This window comes from Homo sapiens, chromosome 19 (genome assembly GCF_000001405.40).
Source record: "Homo sapiens chromosome 19, GRCh38.p14 Primary Assembly".
NCBI classification, from domain to species: Eukaryota; Metazoa; Chordata; class Mammalia; order Primates; family Hominidae; genus Homo; species Homo sapiens.
This window is the reverse complement of record NC_000019.10, coordinates 10600061-10626178: the sequence shown is the minus strand read 5'-3', so window position 1 is coordinate 10626178 and position 26118 is coordinate 10600061. Positions and strand designations below refer to the sequence as shown.

General features: G+C 50.7%; 1 protein-coding gene across 5 annotated transcripts in view, besides 4 other annotated features; it reads right to left on the bottom strand.

Annotated features, from left to right (window-relative positions):
- SLC44A2 (solute carrier family 44 member 2 (CTL2 blood group)) overlaps positions 1 to 23724 on the bottom strand; it is a 42103-nt gene extending 18379 nt beyond the window's left edge. For 3 of the 5 annotated variants that reach the window (XM_047439112.1, NM_001363611.2, NM_020428.4), the window contains exon 1: positions 509 to 626. In XM_047439112.1, the coding sequence (XP_047295068.1) occupies positions 509 to 545 (37 nt within the window). In that variant the 5' untranslated portion in view covers positions 546 to 626. Of the gene's footprint in view, positions 1 to 508; positions 627 to 23617 lie in introns of those variants that run through there. The other 2 variants (XM_047439113.1, NM_001145056.2) reach the window with 1 other exon arrangement.
- Positions 1587 to 2168: an enhancer, noted in NCBI's record as "H3K27ac-H3K4me1 hESC enhancer chr19:10734687-10735268 (GRCh37/hg19 assembly coordinates)". NCBI's record gives its function as "activates a minimal SCP1, AML or CMV promoter by ChIP-STARR-seq in primed H9 embryonic stem cells {active_cell/tissue: H9 hESC(primed)}" and the evidence as "EXISTENCE:reporter gene assay evidence [ECO:0000049][PMID:30033119]".
- Positions 21579 to 21688: a silencer, noted in NCBI's record as "silent region_10085". NCBI's record gives its function as "represses an Ori minimal core promoter by ATAC-STARR-seq in GM12878 lymphoblastoid cells {active_cell/tissue: GM12878}" and the evidence as "EXISTENCE:reporter gene assay evidence [ECO:0000049][PMID:35858748]".
- Positions 23019 to 23078: an enhancer, noted in NCBI's record as "active region_13981". NCBI's record gives its function as "activates an Ori minimal core promoter by ATAC-STARR-seq in GM12878 lymphoblastoid cells {active_cell/tissue: GM12878}" and the evidence as "EXISTENCE:reporter gene assay evidence [ECO:0000049][PMID:35858748]".
- Positions 23419 to 23948: a silencer, noted in NCBI's record as "silent region_10084". NCBI's record gives its function as "represses an Ori minimal core promoter by ATAC-STARR-seq in GM12878 lymphoblastoid cells {active_cell/tissue: GM12878}" and the evidence as "EXISTENCE:reporter gene assay evidence [ECO:0000049][PMID:35858748]".

Below are 26118 nucleotides of genomic sequence, written 5' to 3'. Positions count from 1 at the left end.
AAAGCCCCTAGGGGTGTCTTTGCCTTGGCAAGAATAAAATTCAGAGACCTGTGGAATTTTCTGCCTCACCCACCTCCAGGTGACCACACCCAAGCCCCCAGTTCTGGCAGGCCAGGACAGGGGAGGAAGGAGGGATCACTAACTGTGAACAAACTTATTAACTGGCGGCCACCCACTGGGAAGAGGGCTGAAATGGTGACCACCACGGAACCAGGTGGAGATGGGGAAGATCTGAGGTGGGATAGGGGGAAGGAGGCGCCGGCAGCAGTGCCAGGCAGAGGGGTACAGGGGCAGGTCCTTCGGGTAGGGGAGAGTAAGGAGGGTCGTCTGCGAGGCTGCGGGGGATAAGTGGGGTGAAGGGGCCTGGCTGATGGTGGGGAGGCTCCAGGCGCAGATTTGCAATTGCGCTCCCCCTCCAGCCCCCTTCCCTGCGCCCCATGTTCTCTCAAGGCCCCCTCCGAGGGACCGAGGGGTCGGCCCGGGGCTACGGGCGGGGGTCGCTGCCTACCGTGTTTCCCGTAGTAGTGGGGCCGCTCGTCCCCCATCCCTGCAGGCGACCAGCCCCGGCGGCCGCCCGCGCTCTCTCCCGCGCCCCCTCGACCCTCCCGAGTCTGGAGGGAGGCACTGACCGCGCGACTGGCGGCGGCTCCTCCCAGCACAGCGCCAGGCGGGGCGGCCCAAACCGGTCAGACCGGCCCGAGCTGGGCAGCTGCCCAGACTAAGGGACCCGGGAGGGCGCGGGCGGGGCTGCAGCTGCTCCCGCCACTCACCGGCCGGCCGCATTTAGCCTTCCCCGCCCCCACCCGGGAACCCTGCGGCTTCACCCTGGGAACACCCTGCCACCGGGCGATGCCGCCTAGAACCCCTGGCCACCCTGAAAGGGCGTTTCCGTGGCTTCGTTTTGCAGGTGTGGAAACTGAGGCACTGGGAGGGAAAACGGCCTACTGCCCAAACCCAGACAACCAACTGTGGAATGTTGGTGCTGAAAACTTCTCCAAGCTGTGCAGGAAATTAGTTTTCTTTCTGTCTGCTGCTTTTTTTTTTTGAGACAGGATCTCCCTCTGTTGCCCAGGCTGGAGTGCAGTGGTGCAATCACAGCTCATCGCAGTCTCGACCTCCCTGCCTCAAGCCATCCTCCTGACTAAGCCTCCTGAGTAGCTGGGACTACAGGTGCTCTACTGCACTCGGCTAATTTTTAATTTTTTTTGTAGAGATGGGATGTTGCTATGTTGCCCAGGCTCATCTTTAACTCCTGGACTCGTGGGCTCCTCCCACCGTGGCCCCCCAAAGTGCTGGGATTACCTGCGTGCACTACTGGGCCTGGTCTTAGAACAAGTATTTATTCAGCCCTTAGTGGGTGCAGGCCTTGGGCGGGGCACCGCATACAGTGAGGAACCAGAGAGACCCAATCTCCACCCTTGTGGAGCCCACATCCTCCTGGGTCGCCCTGAATTCAAATGCTCCTTCTGCACCCTCTGAACTAGAGGATACTTAACAAAGGGCTTATCTTCCTTAAGCCTCAGTTTCCTCAACTGCAAAATGAGGCTAAAGTATGAAACCAAAACTGACCTCAAAGAGCAGGCATAGGCCAGGTGCAGTGGCTCATGCCTGTAATCCCAGCACTCTGGGAGGCTGAGGCAGGTCGATCAGGATTTCTAAGCCAGCCTGGCCAACATGGTGAAACCCCTTCTCTACTAAAAATACAAACATTAGCCAGTGTGGTGGCACATGCCTGTAATCCCAGCTACTTGGGAAGCTGAGGCAGGAGAATCGCTTAAACCCAGGAGGTGGAGGTTGCAGTGAGCCAAGATTGCCTCACTGCACTCCAACCTGGGGGACAGAGTGAGACTCTGTCTCCAAAAAGAAAAAGAAAAAAGAAAATAGGCTGGGTGTGGTGGCTAACACCTATAATCCCAGCACTTTGGGAGGCCGAGGTGGGCGGATCATGAGGTCAAGAGATCGAGACCATCCTGGCCAACTTGGTGAAACCCCGTCTGTACTAAAAATACAAAAATTAGCTGGATGTTGTGGTGTGCACCTGTAGTCCCAGCTACTTGGGAGGCTGAGGCAGGAGAATCACTTCAACCCGAGAGGCGGAGGTTGCAATGAGCCGAGATCGTGCCACTGCACTCCAGCCTGGGTGACAGAGCGAGTGTCTCAAAAAATCAATCAATCAATAAATCAAAAATTAGCCGGGTGTGGTGGTTCATGCCTGTAATCCCAGCACTGTGGGAGGCCGAGGCGGGCAGATCACTGAGGTCAGGAGTTCAAGACCAGCCTGGCCAACAAGGCAAAACCCTGTCTGTACTAAAAATACAAAAATTAGCCAGGTGTGGTGGTGGGCACCTGTAATCCCAGCTACTGGGGAGGCTGAAGTAGGAGAATCGTTTGAACCTGGGAGGTAGAGGTTGCAGTGAGCCGAGATTATGCCACTGTACTCCAGCCTGGGCGACAGAGCGAGACTCCGCCTCAAAAAAAAAAAAAAATACAATACAATAAAAATAGAGACAGGATCTCACTGTGTTACCCAGGCTGGGCTCAAACTCCTGGCCTTAAGCAATCCTCCCACCTCAACCTCCCAAAGTGCTGGGATTGCAGGCACGAGTCACCACGCCACAACCTGCCTCTACTTGAATATTTATAGATATTTATAGTGCAGCCAATTATTTGGTTAACATGGCATTATACAGGTGGTGTGGAGGTATCCTCAGCAGGAATATACATTTAGTGCTGGGTGTACACAGACAGCATGAGGTTATACAGTCAGCGTGATCATATACATTTGGTGTCCAATAATTGTAGCTGCTGCCTTAGACTCTAGGACTCGCAGGCAGGGCTCTGGTCACTAACTCAACTTATCCTTAAAAAGGCGCCCTCTCCTCCTAGTAGCCACCAGCAGAGGGGCCCTGTCTAAACACCTGGACCACAGGCAAGGCCTGAGGCGCCAGGTCATGCCCTGGGGTGACCCAGACTCCTAAAGAAGCCCTGTGGTTCTCGAAGTCTCTGCCAGCCCAAAGGCTGGCTGGTCCCACCCTACCCATTCCAAGCAGTGGACAAAGAGAGCGAGCCACAGGCCTCTTCTCTTCCCAACTACACAGGGTGCCCTGGGGACAATTTATTCAGGCCCCACCCACCAGCTCCACACTGAGGAGTCCCAAAAGTTAAGCCCTCTGGAAACCCTTGTCTCTGAGCTGCACACCTATGTGACATCTGTCTCCCCCCAACACACGTGAGCATCTCATACTCAGTGCGGCGGCATCTAAGCTTTTTTGTTTTTGAGACAGGGTCTCACTCTGTCGCCCAGGCTGGAATGCAGTGGCATAATCACAGCTCACTGTAGCTTTGACCTCCTGGGCTCAGGCGATCCTCCCACCTCAGCCTCCTGAGTAGCTGGGATCACAGGCACGCGCCACCACACTCAGGTAATTTTTTGTATTTTTAGTAGAGACAGGGTCTCGCAATGTTGCCCAGGCTGGTCTGGAACTCCTGGCCTCAGGGATCCTCCCACCTCAGCCTCCCAAAGTGCTGTAATTATAGGTGTGAGCCACCGTGCCTGGCCTGTCCAAGCTTCTGATTATCCCATGACTCCGCTCCATCCTCCCACGTGCTCTGGCCAGGAACCTGGGCTGCCTCTCTGCTTGAGATCAGTTTTGCCTTCAGAGCTATCCAGAATCCAACCTCTTCTCACCTGCTCCTCAAGCACCCACCCTTTCACACAGCCCTGTCATCTCCTGCCTGGACCAACACAGACACTTTCTATCCTCACTATAGCGGCCAGAGACATCTGTGCACACCTAAGTCAGGACACATCCCTGCTCTGCTCAGAAACCTCCATGGTTCCCACCTCATTCCGAGGAAAAAGCCCAGCTCTTCGCCACAGCCCACAAAGCCTTGCATGACCTGCCCTGTCACCTCCCTGCCCTCACCTCCTCCCTCTCTCTCTCCATGGCTTACTCTGTTCAGCCTCACTGGCCTCCTGGGTACGTCCCACGCTCAGCAGGCATGGTCTGACCTCAGGGCCTTTGCACTAGCTGCTCGGTCCCTCTGCTTAGAATGCTCTTCTCTCAGACATCCATACAGCTCCGTTGCCTTCAGGCCTTGCCTGAAATATCACCTTGGCAAGGCGTGGTGGCTCAAGCCTGTCATCTTAGCACTTGGGGAGGCTGAGACAGGCAGATCACTGGAGGCCAGTAGTTCGAGACCAGCCTGGGCAACACTGTGAAACCCCATCTCTACTAAAAGTACAAAAATTAGCCAGGTGAGGCCAGGCGCAGTGGCTCACGCCTATAATCCCAGCACTTTGGGAGGCCAAGGTGGGCAGATCACCTGAGGTCGGGAGTTCCAGACCAGCCTGACCAACATGGAGAAACCCTGTTTCTATTACTACAAAAATTAGCCGGGGCGAGGTGGTGCATGCCTGTAGTCCCAGCTACTTGGGAGGCTGAGGCACGAGAATCGCTTGAACCTGGGAAGCGGAGGTTGCAGCAAGCTGAGATCATGCCATTGCACTCCAGTCTGGGCAACAAGAGTGAAACTCCGTCTCAAAAATAAATAAATTAAATTAAAAATTAGCCAGGTGTGGTGACACATACCTGTAGTCCCAGCAACTTGGGAGGTGGAGGTGGGAGGATCACCTGAGACCAAGAGGTCGAGGCTGCAATGAGCCAAGATCCTGGCACTGTACTCCAGCCTGGGTGACAGAGCAAGACTCCATCTAAAAGAAAACCCACAAAAACCAAAAAAAAAAAAAAAAAAACACCCAACCATCCCTTTCCTCTCTGTCCTATGACCTTTTCTTTTCTTTCTTTCATTTTTTTTTTCTTTTTTGAGGCAGAGTCTCGCTCTGTCGCCCAGGCTGGAGTGCAGTGGTGCCATCTAGGCTCACTGCAACCTCCACCTCCCGGGTTCAAGTAGTTCTCCTGCCTCAGGCTCCCAAGTAGCTGGGACTACAGGCACACACCAACGTGCCTGGCTGATTTTTGTATTTTTAGTAGCAGAGACTGGCTTTTACCATGTCTCTACTACTGGTCTCGAACTCCTGACCTCAAGTGATCTGCCCACCTTGGCCTCCCAAAGTGCTGGGATTATAGGCATGAGCCACTATACCTGACCCCTATGACTTTCTCTTTGTTGTTATTATCAAATAGAGTCTTGCTTTGTCACTCAGCCTGGAATGCAGTGGAGCAATCATAGCTCACTGCAGCCTAAACCTCCTAGGCTCAAATGATCTTCTCGCCTCAGCCTCCCAAGTAGCTGTGACTATAGGCACACACCACCATGCCTGCCTAATTTTAAAATTTTTTGTAGACCAGTGTCTCGCTATGTTGCCCAAGGCTGGTCTCAAACTCCTGTGCTCAATGGGCTCAAGCCTTCCTCCCACCTCGGCCTCCCAAAACCCTGGGATTACAGATGTGATACATTTTGCTTCTTATCACCATCTGACATGTTAGACATTTGCTTATTGGTTGTTAATTATCTGCCCTCTTGCCTATTGCCTGCATAAGGACAGGGATTTGTGTGTCTTTCATTCCGGCTGCGTCCCCAGTATACAGCATAGCCCCTGGCATAAAACAAACATTTAATAAGTATTTGTTGAATGAATAGCCACAATATATAATACATGTATGTAGAGTGAACACTGAAAATAAAAACGAGCTTAGAATTTTCTAAGGGTACATATTTTAAAAATTAATTTGCGTTTTTTGTTTGTTTGTTTGTTTTTTGGAGATGGAGTCTTGCTCTGTTGCCCGATCTTGGCTCACTGCAACATCCAGGTTCAAGTGATTCTTCTGCCTCAGCACCCCCGGGTAACTGGAATTACAGGCGCACACCACTATGCCAGGCTAATTTTTGTATTTTCAGTAGAGATGGGGTTTCACTATGTTTGCTAGGCTGGTCTCGAACTGCTGACCTCAGGCGATCCGCCCACCTCAGCCTCCCAAGGTGCTGGGATTACAGGCATGAGCCACAGCGCCCAGTAATTTTTTTTTTGTTTTTGTTTTTGAGACAAAGCCTCACTCTGTTGCCCAGTCTGGAGTGTGGTGAAACAATCTTGGCTCACTGCAACCTCCACCTGCTGGGCTCGAGTGATCCTCCCACCTCAGCCTCTCGAGTAGCTGGGACTACCCACACACCATTGCACCCAGCTAATTATTTTTGGATTTTTTTTTGTAGAGACAGGATTTCACCATGTTGCCCAGGTTGGAGATTTGCAGATTTTTTTTGAGACGGAGTCTCGCTCTGTCACCCAGGCTGGAGTGCAGTGGCATGATCTTGGCTCACTGCAACCTCAGCCTCCCAGGTTCAAGCGATTCTCCTGCCTCAGCCTCCCAAGTAGCTGGGACTACAGGTGCACGCCACCACGCCTGGCTAATTTTTTGTATTTTAGTAGAGATGGGGGTTTCACTGTGTTGCCCAGGCTAGTCGCGAACTCCTGAGCTCAGGCAATCCGCCTGCCTCGGCCTCTGGAAGTGCTGGGATTACAGGTGTGAGCCACTGCGTCCGGCGGAGATTTGCTAATTTTATACTTAAATGAATCTCAGGCCAGGCGTAGTGGCTGACGCCTGTAATCCCAACATTTGGCAAGAGAATTGCTTGACTCCAGGAGTTCAACACTAGCCTGGGCAATATATTGAGACCTCGTCTCTACAAAAATATTTTTTCTTTTTTGTATTGCAAATCGAGCAGCCTCCTGAGCCAAAGTAGGCTCTGAGGCTTAAAAAAAAAAAAAACACTTTTTTTTTTTTTTTCTGAAACATGGTCTGGCTGTATTGCCCAGGCTGGAGTACAGTGTCATGATCTCGGCTCACTGCAACCTCTACCCCCTGAGCTCAAGCCCATCTCCCTCAGCCTCCCAAGTGGCTGAGACTACAGACACACAACACCACGCCCGGCTAATTTTTTATATTTTTTTGTAGGGACTGGGCTTTGCCATGTTGCCCAGCTGGTCTCGAACTCTTGAGTTCCAGCGACGCACCTGCCTCGGCTTCTCAAAGTGCTGGGATTACAGATGTGAGCCACTGTGCCCGGCCAAAATTTTTAAAAACTAGCCGGGCATGATGTGCCTGTAGTCCCAGCTACTGGGGAAGCCTAGGGTGGGAGGATCACGTCAGCCCAGGAGGTTCAGGTTCAGGTTTCAGGGAGCTGTGATTGCGCCACTGCCCTACAGCCTGGGTGACATAGTGTGACCCTGTATCCAAAAAAAAAAAAAAAAAAAAAAAGAATTGTATACATGATACATGTAGAATTTACAGGGAAAGGATAAATTCTTTATTCAGTAGCCCTGAATGTATATTAGGAAGAAAAGGCCAGGCATGGTGGCTCATGCCTGTAATCCTAGCACTTTGGGAGGCTGAAGCAGGCGGATTGCCTGAGCTCAGGAGTTTGAGACCAGCCTGGGCAACACGGCGAAACCCTGCCTCTACTAAAATACACAAAAAAATTAGGCGAGCATGGCCGGAACACGAGGTCAGGAGATCGAGACCATTCTGGCTAACACGGTGAAACCCCGTCTCTACTAAAAATACAAAAAATTAGCCGGGCGTGGTGGCAGACACCTGTAGTCTCAGCTACTCGGGAGGCTGAGGCAGGAGAATGGCGTGAACCAGGGAGGCGGAGCTTGCAGTGAGCCGAGATGGCGCCACTGCACTCCAGCCTGGGCAACAGAGCACGACTCCGTCTCAAAAAAAAAAAAAAAAAAAAAAAGGCCGGGCGCAGTGGCTTACACCTGTAAACCCAGCACTTTTGGGAGGCGAAGGCGGGGAGATCACAAGGTCAGGAGATCGAGACCATCCTGGCTAACATGGTGAAACCCCATCTCTACTAAAAATACAAAAAAGTAGCCGGGTGTGGCAGCATGTGTCTGTAGTCCCAGCTACTCGGGAGGCTGAGGCAGAAGAATGGCGTGAACCCGGGAGGTGGAGCTTGAAGTAAACCGAGACTACGACACTGCACTCCAGCCTGGGCAACAGAGCGAGACTCCGTCTCAAAAAAAAAAAAAAAAAAAAATTAGCCAGGCATGGTGGCAGGCGCCTGTAGTCCCAGCTACTCGGGAGTTTGAGGCAGGAGAATGGCATGAACCCGGGAGGCGGAGGTTGCAGTGAGCCGAGATCACGCCACTGCACTTCCAGCCTGGATGAGAAGAGTGAAACTGTCTAAAAGAAAAAAAATTCCACATGGATTAATCACGCAAACACAGAAAACTCAAAACTATTACAAGTATGAAGGGAAAGCATAAGAGAATACTTCTACCATCAGATAGGCAGTAAGACCGGTAAAGCCAGAAGGCAGAGAGACAAGGGAGTACCGGAAGTTTCTGGTGTCAGCTAGAATGGCAGAGGGTGAGCGGCTGCATAGAGACAGCCAGTGGTGAGCAAAGCGAACTCACTACCTTTCAGATCCTCTCCACCATACTGGAGGCCATTTCATCAACCCATTTTATAGGAGAGAGAACCGAGGCTCAGAAAAGGGAAGGGCTTTGCTAGTCACTTGAGCGGTCCGTTCCCAGTCTAGGTTTGATGAGTACGTGGGAGCCATGGAGGGTGTTTGAGCAGGAGCATGACAGGGCCGCACCGGGGAGGGAACACATGAGGGAGTCTCAGCTGTCTCAGGAAAAGATTGGGGAGCCTGAGGGTTTGGTGCCATGAATGGTAAAGCTGGGACATGCCTAGCTGTGTGAACTTGAGTTACTCCTCTGTGAGATGGAGCTGAAAATGCAGAGAGAGGTGCCTGGCATACACTTGGCTCAAGGCCTGGCTTTGTGGGCTCTCTGTAAAGAGGGAACATTGGTAATATCTTGTGATGGGTTCCATTAGCTCTTATTAACCTTAGCTGGGTGGGGACGAAGGGAGGGGAACAGCAAATACTAATGGTTTCTGCCCTGAGAGCCTAATCTAAACCCCGCAGGATGGGAACTCGCTATATCTTTGCAACAATGCTGCAAGATAAGAAGAAGAACAAGGGCTGGGCGTGGTTGCTCATGCCTGTAATCCTAGCACTTTGGGAGCCCCAGGCGGGCGGATCACGAGGTCAGGAGATCAAGACCATCCTGGCTAACACGATGAAACCCCGTCTCTACTAAAAATACAAAAATTAGCCGGGCGTGGTGGCGAGAGCCTGTAGTCTCAGCTACTAAGGAGGCTGAGCCAGGAGAATGGCATGAACCCGGGAGGCGGAGCTTGCAGTGAGCCGAGATCGCGCCACTGCACTCCAGCCTGGGCGACAGAGCAAGACTCCATCTCAAAAAAATAAAAAATAAAAGATAAGAAGAACAAGCTGGGCGTGGTGGTCCGTGCCTGTAGTCCCAGCTACCAGGGAGACTGAGGTGGGAGGATGACTGGAGCCCAGGAGTTACAGGCGGCAGTGAGCTGTGATAGCACCATTGTACTACAGCCTTGGCAACAGAGCAAGACCCAGTCTCTATTTTTTTTTTTTGAGACAGGCGCCCACCACCATGCCCAGCTAGTTTTTGTATTTTTAGTAGAGACAGGGTTTCACCATATTGGCCAGGCTGGTCTTGAACTCCTGACCTCAGGTGATCCGCCCACCTCAGCCTCCGAAAGTGCTGGGATTACAGGCGTGAGCCACTATGCCAGGTCCCGGTCTCTAAAAATAAAAGTGAAAATAGAGACAGGACATGGTGGCTCAATCCTGTAATCCTAGCACTTTGGGAGGCCAAGGTGGGTGGATCACTTGAGTCCAGGAGATCAAGAGCAGACTAAGCAACAGGCAAGACCTCGTCTCTAAAAAAACAACAAAACAAAACAAAACAAAAAAACAAAAATTAACTGGGCGTGGTGACATGCCTTTGTAGTCCCAGCTACTTGCGAGCCTGAGGTGAGAGAATCTTTGAGCCGGGGGAGACGGAGGTTGCAGAGGGCTCAGATTGCCCCACTGCACTCCAGCCTGGGAAACAGAATGAGACCCTGTCTTTCTCACTGTGTATATTGAACACAGTTTCACTCTGTTTCAATAAATAAATAAACATAATAATAAAATGTTACATGGTTCACCTCATTTCATCCTTTTTTTTTTTTTTCTTTGGAGACAGGGTCTCACTGTCACCCAGGCTGGAAAGCAGTGGCACCATCTTGGCTCACTGCAGCCACGACCTCCAGGGCTCAAGTGATCTTCCACCTCAGCTGGCACATGTCACCATGCCCGGCTAATTTTTGTATTTTTGGTAGAGACAGGGTTTCGCTATGTTGCCCAGGCTGGTCTCTAAATCCTTGGCTCAGGCAATCCCGCTTTGGCCGCCCAAAGTGCTGGGATCACAGGTGTGAGCCACCATGTCCAGCCCGCCTCATTTCATCTTTACAGCACCTCCTATCATTATCCCCATTTGACAGACAGATCAACTGAGGCCTAGAGAGAAAGAAGGTGCCCATGGTGTGAAAGATTTCAATCAGCAGACCCAAGCTGTCCAGCTCCCAAGTCAATGTTTGGACAGTTAACCTTCCAACAACACAGGTTTGAGCTTCATGGTTCCCCTTAAACACAATTTTTCTTCTGCCTCTGTTACCCCTGAGACAGCAAGACCAACCCCTCCCCTTCCTCTTCCTCTTCCTCCTCAGCTCACTCAATGTGAAGACCATTTTTTTTTTTTTTGAGACGGAGTCTCCCTCTGTTGCCCAGGCTGGAGCGCACTGGTGTGATCTCGGCTCACGGCAACTTCCGCCTCCCGGGTTTAAGCGACTCTTGTGCCTCAGCCTCCCGAGTAGCGGGGACTTCAGGTGTGAGCCACCATGCCTGGCTAATTTTTGTATTTTTAGTAGAAATGGGGTTTCACCATGTTGGCCAGGCTGGTCTCAAACTCCTGACCTCAAGTGATCCTCCCACCTTGGCCTCCCAAAGTGCTGGGATTACAGGCATGAGCCACTGCACCTGGCCCCTAATTTTTTTTTTTATTTTTGGTAGAGACAGGATTTTCACCATGTTGGCCAGGCTTGTCTTGAAGTCCTGACCTCAAATGATCCACCTGCCTTGGCCTCCCAAAGTGCTATGATTACAGGTGTGAGCCACCACGCCCAGCCTCTGAAAACCTTTTTGATGATCCACTTCCACTTAATAAATAATAAATGTATTTTCTTTTCCTTACATTTTAATATTTTTTCCCTTAAAAGGAATGGCAAAAAAAAAAAACGCAATTACTTTTGCACCAACTTAATAACATTTTCTTTTCTTTTCTTCTTCTTTTTTTTTTTTTTTTTTGAGACGGAGTCTCATTCTGTCACCCAGGCTGGAGTGCAGTGGCGCAATCTTGGCTCACTGTGACCTCTACCTCCCGGGTTCAAGAGATTCTCCTGCCTCAGCCTCCCAAGTACCTGGGATTACAGGCACGCACCACCATGTCCGGCTAATTTTTGTATTTTTAATAGAGACGTGGTTTCACCATGTTGGCCAGGTTGGTCTCAAACTCCTGACCTCGGGTGATCCGCCCGCCTCAGCCTCCCAAAGTGCTGGGATTATCGGCGTGAGCCACCGCGCCCAGCCACATTTTCTTTTCTTCAGCTTACTTTATTGTAAGAATACGATATATATAATACAGAGACACAATATGTGTATGTTGATATGTTGTCCGTAAGGCTAAGAGTCAACAGTAGGCTATCACTAATTAAGTTTTGGGGGACTTATATGCAGTTATATGCAGGCCGGGCATGGTGACTCATGCCTGCAATCCCAGCATTTTGGGAGGCTGAGGTGGGAGGATCTCTTGAGGCCAGGAGTTGGAGACCAGCCTGATCAACAGATCACAACCCTGTCTCTACAAAAACTTAAGGCATACACAGATTTCTAATTTCACAGGGGGTTGGTGCCCCTCACACCCATGTGGTTTGAGGGTCAAATGCATTATTTCCTTTCGTTGCTGTAACAAGACACCAATGCCTTGGTGGCTTAAAAAAACACAAATTTATGGACGGGTGCGGTGGCTCATGCCTGTAATCCCTGCACTTTGGGAGGCCGAGGCAGGTGGATCACCTGAGGTCAGGAGCTTCAGACCAGCGTGGCCAACGTGGTGAAACCCCATCTCTACTAAAAATACAAAAAATTAGCTGGGCGTGGTGGTGTGCACCTGTAATTCCAGCTACTCAGGAGGCTGAGGCAGTAGAATTGCTTGAAACCAGGAAGCAGAGGTTGCAGTGAGCCAAGATCGCATCACTGCACTCCAGCCTGGGCAACAAGAGCAAAACTCGTCTCAAAAATAATAATAATAATAATAAATAAAAACCACAAATTTATTATCTCACAGCTCAGGAGGACAGAAGCACAAAATGCATCTCACTGGGCTACAATCGATGTGTAGGCAGGGCTGTTTCTTTCGGAGATTTTAGGGGAAAATCTGTTTCCTTGTCTGTTTCACCTTCTAGAGGCCGCCCACATTCCTTGGCTCCTGGCCACTTCTTCCATTTTTAAAGACAGCAATCACATCAAACCCACCTCGCTTCCGTCGTTCCATGTCCTCCTCTGACTCTGCTACCACCCTCTTCCATTTTTCTTAAAGAGACGGGGTCTCACTATGTTGCCCAGGCTGGTCTCAAAGTCCTGGGTTCAAGCAGTCCTCCTGCCTTAGCCTCCCAAAGTGCTTGAACTACAGGCATGAGCCACTACACCCAGCCAAAGTCTTCAACTTGGCCAGGCGCAGTGGCTTACACCTGTAATCCCAGCACTTTGGGAAGTCAAGGCAGGCAGATTACTTGAGGTCAGGAGTTTGAGACCAGCCTGTCCAACGTGGTGAAACCCCATGTCTACTAAAAATACAAAAAATTAGCCGGGCATAGTGGTGGGCGCCTGTAGTCCCAGCTACTCGGGAGGCTGAGGCAGGAGAATCACTTGAACCCAGGAGGCAGAGGTTGTGGCAAGCCAAGATTGCGCCACTGCACTCTAGCCTGGGTGACAGAGCAAGACTCCATCTCAAAAAAAAAAAAGAAAGAAAATAAAAAGTAAAAAATAACTATATTATCTGGGTGTGGTGGTGCATGCCTGTGGTCCCAGCTACTCAGGAGGCTGAGGTGGGAGAATCGCTTGAGCCCGGGAGGCAGAGGCTGCAGTGAGCTGTGATCACGCCACTGCACTCCAGCCTGGATGACAGAAAACACTGTCTCTAAAAAACCAAAACCAAACAAATAAAAATAACAAAACAAAAACTTCTCCAATCCCCACTAACCATTAGTGTGATCCCATTTCACGACGGGCACACTGAGGTTGCTTGCTCGGGCCACACAGCTGGTGAGGAGCACAGCCAGGAGTCAAACCAACGCCCTGCTGGAGCCAACCCAGGCCTTTTCCTTGGCAGGTACTGGGAGAAGCAGAGATAACGTTGCGGCAATGGTGTGGAAGAAAAATTGGGAAAATTGAGCTGTTGGACAAGGCCAGGATTGGGAGAGGCAGCCTTCGGGTGCCAGCCTTGCTGGCTGTGACGGCTGACCCACCCAAGTGCAGTGGGCGTGGGCGATAAGAGAACTGCCACAGCCTGCCCAGTCACAGTGCTGGTGCCAGGACATCAAATGCCACCCAGCCCCCACAGCTTCCGGACACTGGCCAAGTCCCCAAGGGCTGCAGCGGCCCAAGGCCTCACCCGTACAGCCAGCCACTGGCCTCTGCCTTCCCAGAAGTCTGTGCCTGGGGAATGAGCATCGCCAGCTGCCCAGACACCTCTTTTGACAAAGGGTTTGAGGACAGCATCTGGGTGGGGAGGCTCAGAAGGGTTAAGGGCAAAAGATAGAGCGCCTACTGTATGCTGGACTATGTTAGGCACCAAACCAGAGATTTGCTTCTAGAAACATTTAACCTTTTTTTATTTTTTATTTTTTGAGACAGGGTCTCCTTTTTTGCCCAGGATGAAGTGCAGGGGCGCAATCATAGCTCACTGCAGCCTTGACCTCCTGGGCTCAAGTGATCCTCCCGCCTCAGACTCCCTAGTGGATGGGACCACAGGCATGCACCACCACGCCCCGCTAATTTTTAATTTTTTGTTTTGCAGAAACAGGGTCTCACTATGTTGCCCAGGCTGGTATAAAATTCCTGGGCTCAAGTGATCCTTCCGCCCTGGCATCCCAAAGTGCTGGGATTATAGGAGTGAGCCACCACACCCGGCTCAGCCTAAGAAGCTTTAAAAAGATCCAGATGCCACACACACACAGAAATTAATAGGTCACAATCTGGAAGGAGACTTCTTGGCTGAGCTACCTCTGAGGTGAAAACAGCTAGCCAAAGATTTGTAGAAGATTCTTTCACATGGAAAGCTAAAATCTTCCATGGACTTGAGGACTTACTTATAATTAGCTTTTAGTCCCCCTGCCAGAACAGAGGGAATTTATTAATTTTATTATGTAAGAGTTTATTTGTTTACTTGTATATTTGAGATGGGGTCTCATTCTGTTACCTAGGTTGGAGTGCAGTGGCACAATGTCGGCTCACTGCAACCTCTGCCTCCTAGGCTCAAGCAATCCTCCCACCTCACCCTCCAGAGTGGCTCGGACCACAGGCATAAGCCACCATGACCAGCTAATTTTTTTGCATATTTTTGGGAAGAAGGGGTTTTGCAATGTTGCCCAGGCTAGTCTCAAACTCCTGGACTCAAGCGATCCACCCACCTTGGCCTCACAAACAGCTGGGATTATAGGAGTGAACCACGATCCACCCACCTTGGCCTCACAAACAGCTGGGATTACAGGAGTGAACCACTGCACCGGGTCTCTTGTTTGTTTATTTATTTATTTATTATTTTTTGAAATAGTGTCTCACTCTCTTGCCCAGGCTGGAGTGCAGTGGCGCAATCTTGGCTAACTGCAACCTCTGCTGCCCAGGTTCAAGCAATTCTCCTGCCTCAGCCCCCTGAGTAGCTGAGATTACAGGTACCTGCCACCACGCCTGGCTAAATTTTGTAGTGTTAGCAGAGATGGGGTTTCACCATCTTGGTCAGGCTGGTCTCGAACTCCTGACCTCAAGTGACCTACCCGCCTGGGCCTCACAAAGTGCTGGGATTACAGGCGTGAGGCACTGCACGCAGCCTAAAATAATATTTTAAAATAATGCTCTCTAGCCCGGCACAGAGGCACATGCCTATAGTCCCCTACTTAGGAGGTTGAAGGGGAAGGATCGCTTCAGCCGGGGAATTCAACCAGCCTGGGGAACATCATAAGACTCCCTCTCAAAAAAAATTTTTTTTTAAATTAAAAATAAATAAATAAATATCATGTTCACCTTGGGGATCGATTGGGAAATGGCAAAAGAAAAGTCTTGGCGGGGCGCGGTGGCTCACAACTGTAATCCCAGCACTTTGGGAGGCCGAGGCGAGCGGATCACTTGAGGTCAGGAGTTCCAGACCAGCCTGGCCAACATGGTGAAACCCCGTCTCTACTAAAAATACAAAAATGAGCCAGGCATGGTGGCACATGCCTGTAATCCCAGCTACTCGGGAGGCTGAGGCCAGAGAATCACTTGAACCCGGGAGGCAAAGGTTGCAGTGAGCCAAGATCACGCCATTGCACTCCAGCCTGGGCAACAAGAGTGAAACTCCATCTCAAAAAAAAAAAAAAAAAAAAAAAAAGCCAGGCGCGGTGGCTCACGACTGTAATCCCAGCACTTTGGGAGGCCGAGGCGGGCAGATCACGAGGTCAGGAGATCAAGACCATCTGGCTAACACAGTGAAACCCCGTTTCTACTAAAAAAATACAAAAAAATCAGCCGGGCATGGTGGCGGGCGCCTGTAATCCCAGCTACTCGGGAGGCTGAGGCAGGAGAATGGCGTGAACCCGGGAGGCGGAGCTTGCAGTGAGCCGAGATCACGTCACTGCACTCCAGCCTGGGTGACTGAGTGAGACTCAGTCTCAAAAAAAAAAAAAAAAAAGGAAAAGAAAAGTCTCTAGGGAGAATTCTCTACCAGGGCTCTGCAAATGTTTTCTGTTAAGGACAAGATATTAAAGATTTTAAGCTTTGTGGTTCACATATCATCTGTCATATATATATATTTTTTTTTCTTTTTTCACAACCATTTAAAAATATAAGAGCCATTCTTAGCCCACTAGCCTTACAAAAACAGGCCACCACCCAACAATCTAAATATAAGTAACATTAGCCAGGCTCGGTGGCTCACGCCTGTAATCCCAGCACTTTGGGAGGCCAAAGTGGGAGAATCATTTGAGGTCACGAGTTTGAGACCAGCCTGGTCAACATAGTGAAACCCTGTCTCTACTAAAAATACAAAAATTAGCCGGGCATGGTTGTGCATGCCTATAATCCCAGCTATTCGGGAGGCTGAGGCAGGAGAATAACTTGAACCCAGGAGGCAGAGGCTGCAGTCAGCCGAGATTGTGCCCTGCCCTTCAGCCTGGGCAACAGAGACAGATTCTGTCTCAAAAAATAAATAAATAAATAAGAGTAACATCATAGATCTGTACATTTAAAAAGAGTTATGGGCTGGGCATGGTGGCTTACACCTGTAATCTCAGTACCTTGAGAGGCTGAGGTGGGAGGATCACTTGAGCCCAGGAGTTCAAGACCAGCCTGGACAACATAGCAAGACTCTATCTCTACAAAAAAACTAATAATGTGTGGTTTTTTTAGTATGTAAATTATACTTCGCCAGGCACAGTGGCTCTTGCCTTTAATCCCAGTATTTTGGGAGACTGAGGCGGGTGGATCACTTGAGGTCAGGAGTTTGAGACCAGCCTGACAAACATGGCAAAACCCAGTCTCTACTAAAAATACAAAAAGTAGCTGGACGTGGTGAGGTGCACCTGTAATCCCAGCTACTCAGGAGCCTGAGGCAGGAGAATCACTTGAACCCAGGAGGCGGAGGTTGCAGTGAGCTGAGATCATGCCACTACACTCCAGCCTGGGCGACAGAGCAAGATTCTGTCTTGAAAAAAAAGAAAAAAGCAACAAAAACAAACCAAATTATACTTCAATTTAAAATGTAGGCTGGGCCGGGCATGGTTGCTCACGCTTGTAATCTCAGCACTTTGGGAGGCCAAGGTGGGCAGATCACAAGGTCAGGAGTTCAAGACCAGCCTGGCCAATATGGTGAAACCCCGTCTCTACCAAAAATACAAAAATTAGCTGGGCGTGGTGGCACATGCCTGTAATCCCAGCTACTGGGGAGGCTGAGGCAGAAGAATCGCTTGAACCCAGGAGGTGGAGTTTGCAGTGAGCTGAGATGGCGCCACTGCTCTCCAGCCTGGGCAACAGAGCAAGACTCCATCTCAAAAAAAAAAAAAAAAAAAAAGGTAGGCTGGGTGCAGTGGCTCACGACTCTAGCCCCAGCACTCTGGCAGGCTGAAGCACGTGGATAGCTTGAGCCCAGGAGTTCCAGACCAGCCTGGGCAACATGACAAAACCCAATCTCTACAAAAAATACAAAAATTAATCGGGCACGGTAACTCGAATCTTGTAGTCCCAGGTCCTTGGGAGGCTGAGGCAGGAGAATTGCTTAAACCCAGGAGGCAGAGGTTGCAGTGAGCCGAGATTGTACCACTGCACTTAACCCTGGGTGACAGAGTGAGACCCTGTCTCAAATTAAAAAAATAAATAAATAAATAAAATATATATATACTAATAAAATAATAATACAAATAGGCCCTCCTTGCACATGACAGGGCCCTGGAAATGTTCTTTTTTCCTCATCTGGTTGCTGGCCAGATAAGGTGTTCACCTTGTGAAAGCTCCTTCAGCCTCATATATTTAGGATCTATGCCCTTTTATGTATGTATTTCCAACTTCGAAAAAAAGTTTAAAATAAATATTCCCTTTGATTGGCTAAATAAAAGACAGCCCATCCACAAATGTACTATTCTATGCTACCGTGAAAAAAGATTGTGCTGGGCGCCATGGCACACACCTGTGATCAGTCCCAGCTACTCGGGAGGCTGAGGCGGGAGGATCCCTTCAACTCAGGAGTTCTAGGCTAGCCAAGGCAACATAGCAAGACCCTGTCTCTCCTTTTTTTTTTTTTTTCTTTGAGACGGAGTCTCGCTCTGTTGCCCAGGCTGGAGTGCAGTGGCGCGATCTCGGCTCACTACAACCTCCACCTCCTGGGTTCAAGCGATTCTCCTGCCTCAGCCTCCCAAGTATCTGAGACTACAGGTGCATGCCACCATGCCCAGCTAATTTTTTTATTTTTAGTAGAAACGGGGTGGCTGGGCGCAGTGGCTCACACCTGTAATCCCAGCACTTTGGGAGGCCGAGGCGGGGGCGGATCACGAGGTCAGGAGATCGAGACCACGGTGAAATCCCGTCTCTACTAAAAATACAAAAAATTAGCCGGGGGCAGTGGCAGGCACAGTGGCGGGCGCCTGTAGTCCCAGCTACTCGGGAGGCTGAGGCAGGAGAATGGCATGAACCCGGGAGGCGGTGCTTGCAGTGAGCCGAGATCACGCCACTGCACTCCAGCCTGAGCGACAGAGTGAGACTCCGTCTCAAAAAAAAAAAAATAATAATAATAATAATAAATGATTGAGGAAGCTTTGGAGGTGTTGACAAGAGATCCTCTCCAATGTATATTAGGCAAAACAAATAAACAAAAAAAAGCTGGGTGTGGTGGCCCACGCCTATAATCCTAGCACTTTGGGAGGCCAGTACAGGAGGATTGCTTTAGCCCAGGACTTCATGACCAGCCTGGGCAACATGGTGAGACCCTGCCTCTAAAAAAAAAAAAAAAAAAAAATTAGTTGAGTATCACGGCACACACCCGTAGTCTCAACTACACAGGAGGCAGAAGCAGGAGGATCACTTGAGCCCAGGAATTTGAGGCTGCGGTGAGCTATGATCGCACCACTGCACTCTAGCCCAGCCTGGGTGACAGAGTGAGACCCTGTGTATAAACAACAACAACAACAACAAAGAATAAAGTATGGTCCGGGGTGGGAGAGCAAGAGGGAAACTTTCATCTCAAAGCCGTAACATCTTTTGTATCTTTTGTATTTAAAGCATGTGAATGTATTATCCCTTTCAAAGAAAATAGCCCCAAGAGGCCGGGCGAGGTGGCTCACGCCTGTAATCTCAGCACTTTGGGAGGCCAAGGCAGGCTGATCACAAGGTCAGGAGATCGAGACCATCCTGGCTAACATGGCGAAACCCGGTCTCTACTAAAAAATACAAAAAAATTAGCCAGGCGTGGTGGCGGGCGCCTGTAGTCCCAGCTACTCGGGAGGCTGAGGCAGGAGAATGGCGTGAACCCGGGAGGCGGAGCTTGCAGTGAGCCGAGACCGTGTCACTGCACTCCAGCCTGGGCGACAGAGCGAGACTCCGTCTCAAAAAAAAAAAAAAAAAATAGCCGTAAGTAACTACCTTTTCATACATACATACATACATACATATATATGTGTATGTGTATATATATATTTTAATATATATGTATATAATTATTTTTTGAGATGGAGTTTTGCCCTTGTTACCCAGGCTGGAGAGAAATGGCACGATCTCAGCTCACTGCAACCTCTGCCTCCTGGGTTCAAGCAATTCTCCTGTCTCAGCCTCCCACATAGCTGGGACTACAGGTGCACGTCACTATTCCAAGAACATTTTTGTATTTTTAGTAGAGACAGGGTTTCACGATATTGGTAAGGTTGGTCTCAAACTCCAGACCCCAGGTGATCCACTTGCCTCGGCCTCCCAAAGTGCTGATATTAGAGGCGTGAGCCACTGTGCCCAGCCAATTTTTGTATTTTTAGTAGAGACAGGGTTTCGCCATGTTGGTCAGGCTGGTCTCGAACTCCTGACTTCAGGTGATCCACCTGCCTCGGCCTCCCAAAGTGCTGGGATTACAGGCGTGAGCCACCACACCCGGCCACATGTATATATATATATTTAAATCAGGTGCCAGGGCCTCACTGCAGGCTGAATTGTATTCTAGCAAATGGGACCAGGGAATCTGCTTTTTATTTTGAGACAGGGTCTTCCTCTGTCATCCAGGCTGGAGTGCAGTGGCGCTATCTTTGCTCACTGCAACCTCTGCCTCCTGGGCTCAAGCAATCCTCCCACCTCAGCCTCCCAAGTAGCTGGAATACAGTTGAGCACCACCATGCTCAGTTAATTTTTAAATTTTTTTGTAGAGACAGGGTCTCACTATATTGCCCAGGCTGGTCTCAAACTCATGGGCTCAAGCGATCCTCCCACCTGGGACTCCCAAAGTGCTGGAATTATAGGCATCAGCGACTGCCCAGCCAGAGTCTGGTTTTTGTTGTTTTTTGAGATGGAGTCTCGCTCCATAGCCCAGGTTGGAGTGCAGTGGCACCATCTCAGCTCACTGCAACCTCTGCCTCCCAGGTTCAATCAGTTCTCCTGTCTCAGCCTCCCAAGTAGCTGGGATTACAGATGTGCACCACCATGCTTGGCTAATTTTTATATTTTTAATAGAGACGGGGTTTCACCATGTTGGCCAGGCTGGCCTCGATCTCCTGACCTCAAGTGACCCACCCACCTCAGCCTCTCAAAGTGCTGGGATTACAGGTGTGAACCTGTAATCCTTGCCTGGCCAAGAGTCCTTTTTTTTTTTTGAGACGGAGTCTCACTCTGTCACCTAAGCTGGAGTGCAGTGGCGCCACCTTGGCTCACTGTAACCTCTGCCTCCCAGGTTGAAGCGATTCTCCGGCCTCAGCCTCCCGAGTAGCTGGGACTATAGGTACACTAATTTTTTGTATTTTTATTATTTATTTATTTATTTATTTCGAGACTGAATTTCACTCTTTTTGCCCAGGCTGGAGTGCAGTGGCACAAACTCGGCTCACCGCAACCTCTGCCTCCCAAGTTCAAGCGATTCTCCTGCCTCAGCCTCTGGAGTAGCTGGGATTACAGGCATGCACCACCATGCCTGGCTAATTTTGTATTTTTAATAGAGATGGGAATTCACCATGTTGGTCAGGCTGGTCTCGAACTCCCGACCTCAGGTGATCCACCTGCCTTGGCTCCCAAAGTGCTGGGATTACAGGCATGAACCACTGTGGCTGGCATTTTTTGTTATTTTTTGTAGAGATGGGGTTTCACTGTGGTAGCCAGGATTGTCTCGATCTCCTGACCTCGTGATCCCCCAGCCTTGGCCTCCTAAAGTGCTGGGATTACAGGTGTCAGCCACAATACCTGGCAAGAGTCCGTTTTTTAAATAAGCATCACTACTGTCCCCCCGACCCCAGTTTTATTTCTCCATGGTCAGAGTTTATTGTTTTGGATTGCAGAATCTTTTTCTGCACTGCTCTTGCCAAGGGTGGGCTGGCTGGGAAGGATGGCAATGCCCATTGCTGACATCCGCCGGGGCCCAGAGCCATTTCCCCATTTCCCTTGGAACTGCTGCCTTCCTTTAGATATGATCTCTGCTGAGGAATGCACTTCCTGCCCAACCTGGTCTCACCCAAGTCAATGCCTTGGGTTGCTTCTCTATCAGCTCACGGGAAAGCCATGTCCCCAGTACTACCAGCCCCAGAGGCCTCCTGAGCACATCGAGCTTGACAGCCTATGCAAAATTCTTCCCCCACCAGTGAGTGTGGTCCACCGAGTCCTATAGACAAAGACACAGAGCTTCAGAGAGGTCACGGACTCACCCAGGGCCACACGGCTCCTAAGTGTCAGAGCCAGGATTTGAGCCTAGGTTTGTCTGATGTCAGCCCCTAAACTCATGACGGATGGGAAGCCACTGGGGCAGGAGGGTAGGATAAGTGAGCCCCTCTTCCACACCATCCCCAGGGGAAAGCTCCCTTCATCTATCAGGGACGTCATGGGCCAGTCCAAGGCCCCCAGGTTTTTGGTTCTGATGTGAAGGAACTACTTCCAAGCTAAGCAAAACCCCTACTTCAAGCAATCAAACCAGATGCCCCCTTTGGCCCCAAGGCAAAATGTAATTAAGTAACTACGTGGTTTGTTTGCTGTTCTTTCTGTGTGAAACACACTTCCCCTAAATCTTCCCACGGCTGGCTCAACCTCCAGCCCTTAGTAACCTAAAATAATCGCTGCTGTTTCTGCCACACAAGATCACACGACGTCTTGTTCTTTGCTTCACAACTTACAACAACCTAAAATTACACATTCCTTCCCTTGACTACTCCCTGCGGTCAAGGATTTCACTGGTCTATTCACTGCTGGGTTTCCAGTGTCTAGACCCCTGCCTAAATCGTGCTCAATAAATATTTGTTGATTGAAGGTACTCCCTTAAGCCCAGCAAAGGCTCTGTCTGGCAGGGTCCCCTGTCTCATGTGTGGGCCTGGGAGGTCTGCCTAGCTCCGACCACAGCTCAATTCCATCCTTTGGCCAAATTCAAGGCTGGGTGAATCATATCATTGTCCATTCTGCCCCTCGTCCCTGTCCCAGCCAAACTTCATAGAGACCCAAGACCCCCTCAGATGCTGCCCACAAGCGGGCAAGACCTGGCTAGAACCTCAGGCTGAGACTCTCAGGTCAGAGACAGCCTGCCACACCCAAGGGACACACAGCACCCACAGCCACTGGGGCTGGAATTTGAGCCCAAATGAAGACCAAGGGGGTCCCTCCAGGGGACTGGGCTGGAAGCTTCAATTGGGGAGGGGGTGCTGGGAGGTGGCCAGGTCCTGCTGCCTCCCCTTGGCTGGGCTCTGCAGGGAAGGTCCCAGCCTCCCTGATCTGTCTCTCCTGGCAGCCTCCTGAGGCCATACAGTCCCTGGGGGCAGGGAGGCACAGCTCTACCCAACTTGTTTTTCTTGAATATTTTCGAGCCGTTTCCGGCCCCCTCCCCAGGGCCCTTCAGTGTCACAGTTTCCAGGAAGTTCTTGTCACACAAAGAGGGGCGCGACAGTGCTTCTTTGCCCCCAGGGTAGTATCACGTGGGGCTGGGGCTCCGTTGGGTCTTGGGGACCCAAAATGGAGAAGAGAAAGGAGAAACTGAGGATGGCAACTCCTCCCACCGTGGGAATTCAGGGGAGGGCGGCACCACAGGGCGCTGGTGATGGAGAAGCCCACATCCTGGGCCCATCCCCGGGGCCAAATGCCTGAGGTCGCCCCAAGAGGTTCGCCGGAGGAAGTTCCAGTCGCCAGCACCTCTCGAAATGGGAGGTGGGAGCCGCCAGCCCCTTGCACAGGGAGGGGAAAGTTTCTCAATTTTTTCCTGCTTCCTTCCTGCCCCCTCACCAAAGGCGCCCTTCTTTCCGCCGTTTCCAGGCGGCTGGCCAGACTCGGTGGGCTCTCAGCTGGGTATTCGGTCTGCCCAGTCTTGCCTCAGTTTCCCCATCTGGCCAAAAGCCCCGGACGGCTACTTCTGGCGGAAAAGGGAAGGAGGAAGAAATGGACAAAGGGGATTGGAAGAGGAGGGGGATTTGAGGAGGTCAGGGCCCTGTCTCTTTTCCGAGCCCAGATCGCCGCGCCTCCCCTCCCCCGCCCGCCATCCGAGCCGCCCAGATAACGGGACCTCCCCGGGCGGAGCATGCGCCGTGAGCCCCGGCCCATCAGCCGGAGGGGGAGCTGGGGCTCCCGGGGAGGGGACGCGGGGCGACCCGGTTAGAGCAGGGGGCGTGGGATCCGCGCAGTGTCGGATGCGGGGGCCCGAGCGCGGAGGGCCATCCAGCCGCAGCGCCGGTGCCTAGGGTCTCAGATGTCCCCCTGGCTCAAGGTCCTCCCACCCGCAGGTCAGCAGAGGCGGCCCCTGACCGGAGGCGGCTCCTACCGTAGGCTCCGTTTTTCCGCTCGTCCTCCATGGCCGCGGCGGGGCGGGGAGCGGAGTCCGAGCCAGCGCGACCCCAGCCCGGGCGGGCGGGAGGCTCCGCGGGCTGCAGCGCCCCGCCCCGGGCCCCGGCCCCGCCCCTCCCGCCGGGCCAGCCCCCGCGCGCCTCCTCCAATGGGAGCCTCGAGAGGGCGAGGGCGGGGACCGGGGGCGGGGCCTGGCCCGGGAGGGGTGGGGCCCCAACCTTTGTTTCCAGTCTTAGCTCTCAAGTAACCCTCTTGAGGGTGTGCATGGTGAGCAAACAGAGGTCATTCATTCATTCATTCATCTATGCATTTCATCGTCAAGGAGATATTGAGGCTGGGCGTGGTGGCGCGGGCCTGTAATCCCAGCCACTCCGGAGGCTGAGGCGGGAGGATAGCTTGGGCCAAATAGTTCCAGACCAGCCTGGGCAACATAGGAAGACCCTCATCTGTACAAAAAATTTAAAAAATTAGCTGGGCTTGGTGAGGCACACTTGTAATTCAGCTACTCGGGAGCCTGAGGTAGGAGGATCACTTGAGTCCAAGAGTTTGAGGCTGCAGTGAGCTATGATTGTGCCACTGCCTGGGCAACCCTGTCTCAAAATAATAATAAGAATTAATAATAATAATAGGCCGGGCGCAGTGGCTCACGCCTGTAATCCCAGCACTTTGGGAGGCCGAGGCGGGAAGATGGTCAGGAGATCGAGACCATCCTGGCTAACACGGTGAAACCCCGTCTCTACTAAAAATACAAAACATTAGCCGGGAGTGGTGGCGGGCACCTGTAATCTCAGCTACTCGGGAGGCTGAGGCAGGAGAATGGCGTGAACCCGGGAGGCGGAGCTTGCAGTGAGCCGAGACCGTGTCACTGCACTCCAGCCTGGGCGACAGAGCGACACTCCGTCTCCGTCTCAAAAAATAAAATAAAATAAAATAAAATAAAAATAATAATAGAAGATGGATAGATAAATAATTGATAGGTAAATATTGATCACCGTGTACCACTGAACATACCAAAAGATGCCATTTTCATTCATCAGATTGGTAAGAATTTTAGAGTTTAATAACATAAAATCAGGTGAGTGAATACTTTGAAGCAGAATGTTTCCTGGCAGAAAGAGTATATCCAAGTCATGTTCACCTGGTGCGATTCCTGTCTGGCACTGACCCTGGACAAACCACTGCAGGTGTGTGTGCATGGGATGTAGTAACCAAGGGGTGTTCCCTGCAGCCTTGACAGTTATTGTGGAAAAAATGGGTGAAAACAGGCCGGGTGCGGAGGCTCACGCCTGTAATCCCAGCACTTTGGGAGGCCGAGGCGGGCGGATCACTTGAAGTCGGGAGTTCGAGACCAGCCTGACCAACATGGAGAATCCCTGTCTTTACTAAAAATACAAAAAATTAGCCTGGTGTGGTGGCACATGCCTGTAATCCCAGCTACTCTGGAGGCTGAGGAGGAGAATCGCTTGAACCCAGGAGGTGGAGGTTGCGGTGAGCTGAGATGACGCTATTGCACTCCAAACTGGGCAACAGAACTGGGCAAAAAGCGAAACTCTGTCTCAAAAAGAAAAAAAAAAAGAAAGAAAAATGGGTGAAAACATCACTGCACTCCAGCCTGGGTGACAGAGTGAGACCCTGTCTCAAAAAAAAAAAAAAAAAGAAAGAAAGAAAGAAAAAAGAATAAAGCACGAAGTCATCAGGGAAATGTAAATCAAAACCTCGATGAGATATCATTGCACACCCACCTGAATAGCTAAAATTAAAAAGACTGGTCGAACCAAGTGTTGAGGAAGATGGGAAGCATATGGGGGCTCTCCTACACTGTTGGTGAGAATGTAAAATGCCACAACCAGTTGGAAAACGATCTGGCAGTTTCTTGCAAAGTTAATACCCTAGAAATTGCACTTCTAGGTATATACCCAAGAAAAAGTATAAGTGAAGAAAAGAAAAACCCACAGACACATTCATATAAATGTTCATGATAGCCTTATAGTATCCTTATTCGTAGTGGGCAAAAAAACTAGGAGCAGCCCAAATGCCCATTAACAGATCATTGGTGAAGCAAACCATGGTGGGTTTCACCCATACCATGGGATTCTCCTTAGTGATGAGGAATGAATGTTTTCTTCTTTCTTTTTTTAGGGACAGGATCTTGCTGTATTGCCCAGGCTGGATTGCGATGGTGCAGTCATAGCTGACTGAAGCCCTGACCTCCTCAGCTCAAGTGATCCTCCTGCCTCAGCCTCCCGTTGCTGGGACTACAGGCACACACTATCATGCCTGGCTAATTTCTTTCTTTCTTTCTTTTTTTGACAAAGTTTCACTCTTGTTGCTCAGGCTGGAGTGCAATGGTGCAATGGTGTGATCTCAGCTCACCGCAACCTCCGTCTCCCAAGTTCAAGTGATTCTCCTGCCTTAGTCTCTGAGTAGCCGGGATTACAGGCATGCACCACCACGCCTGGCTAATTTTGTATTTTTAGT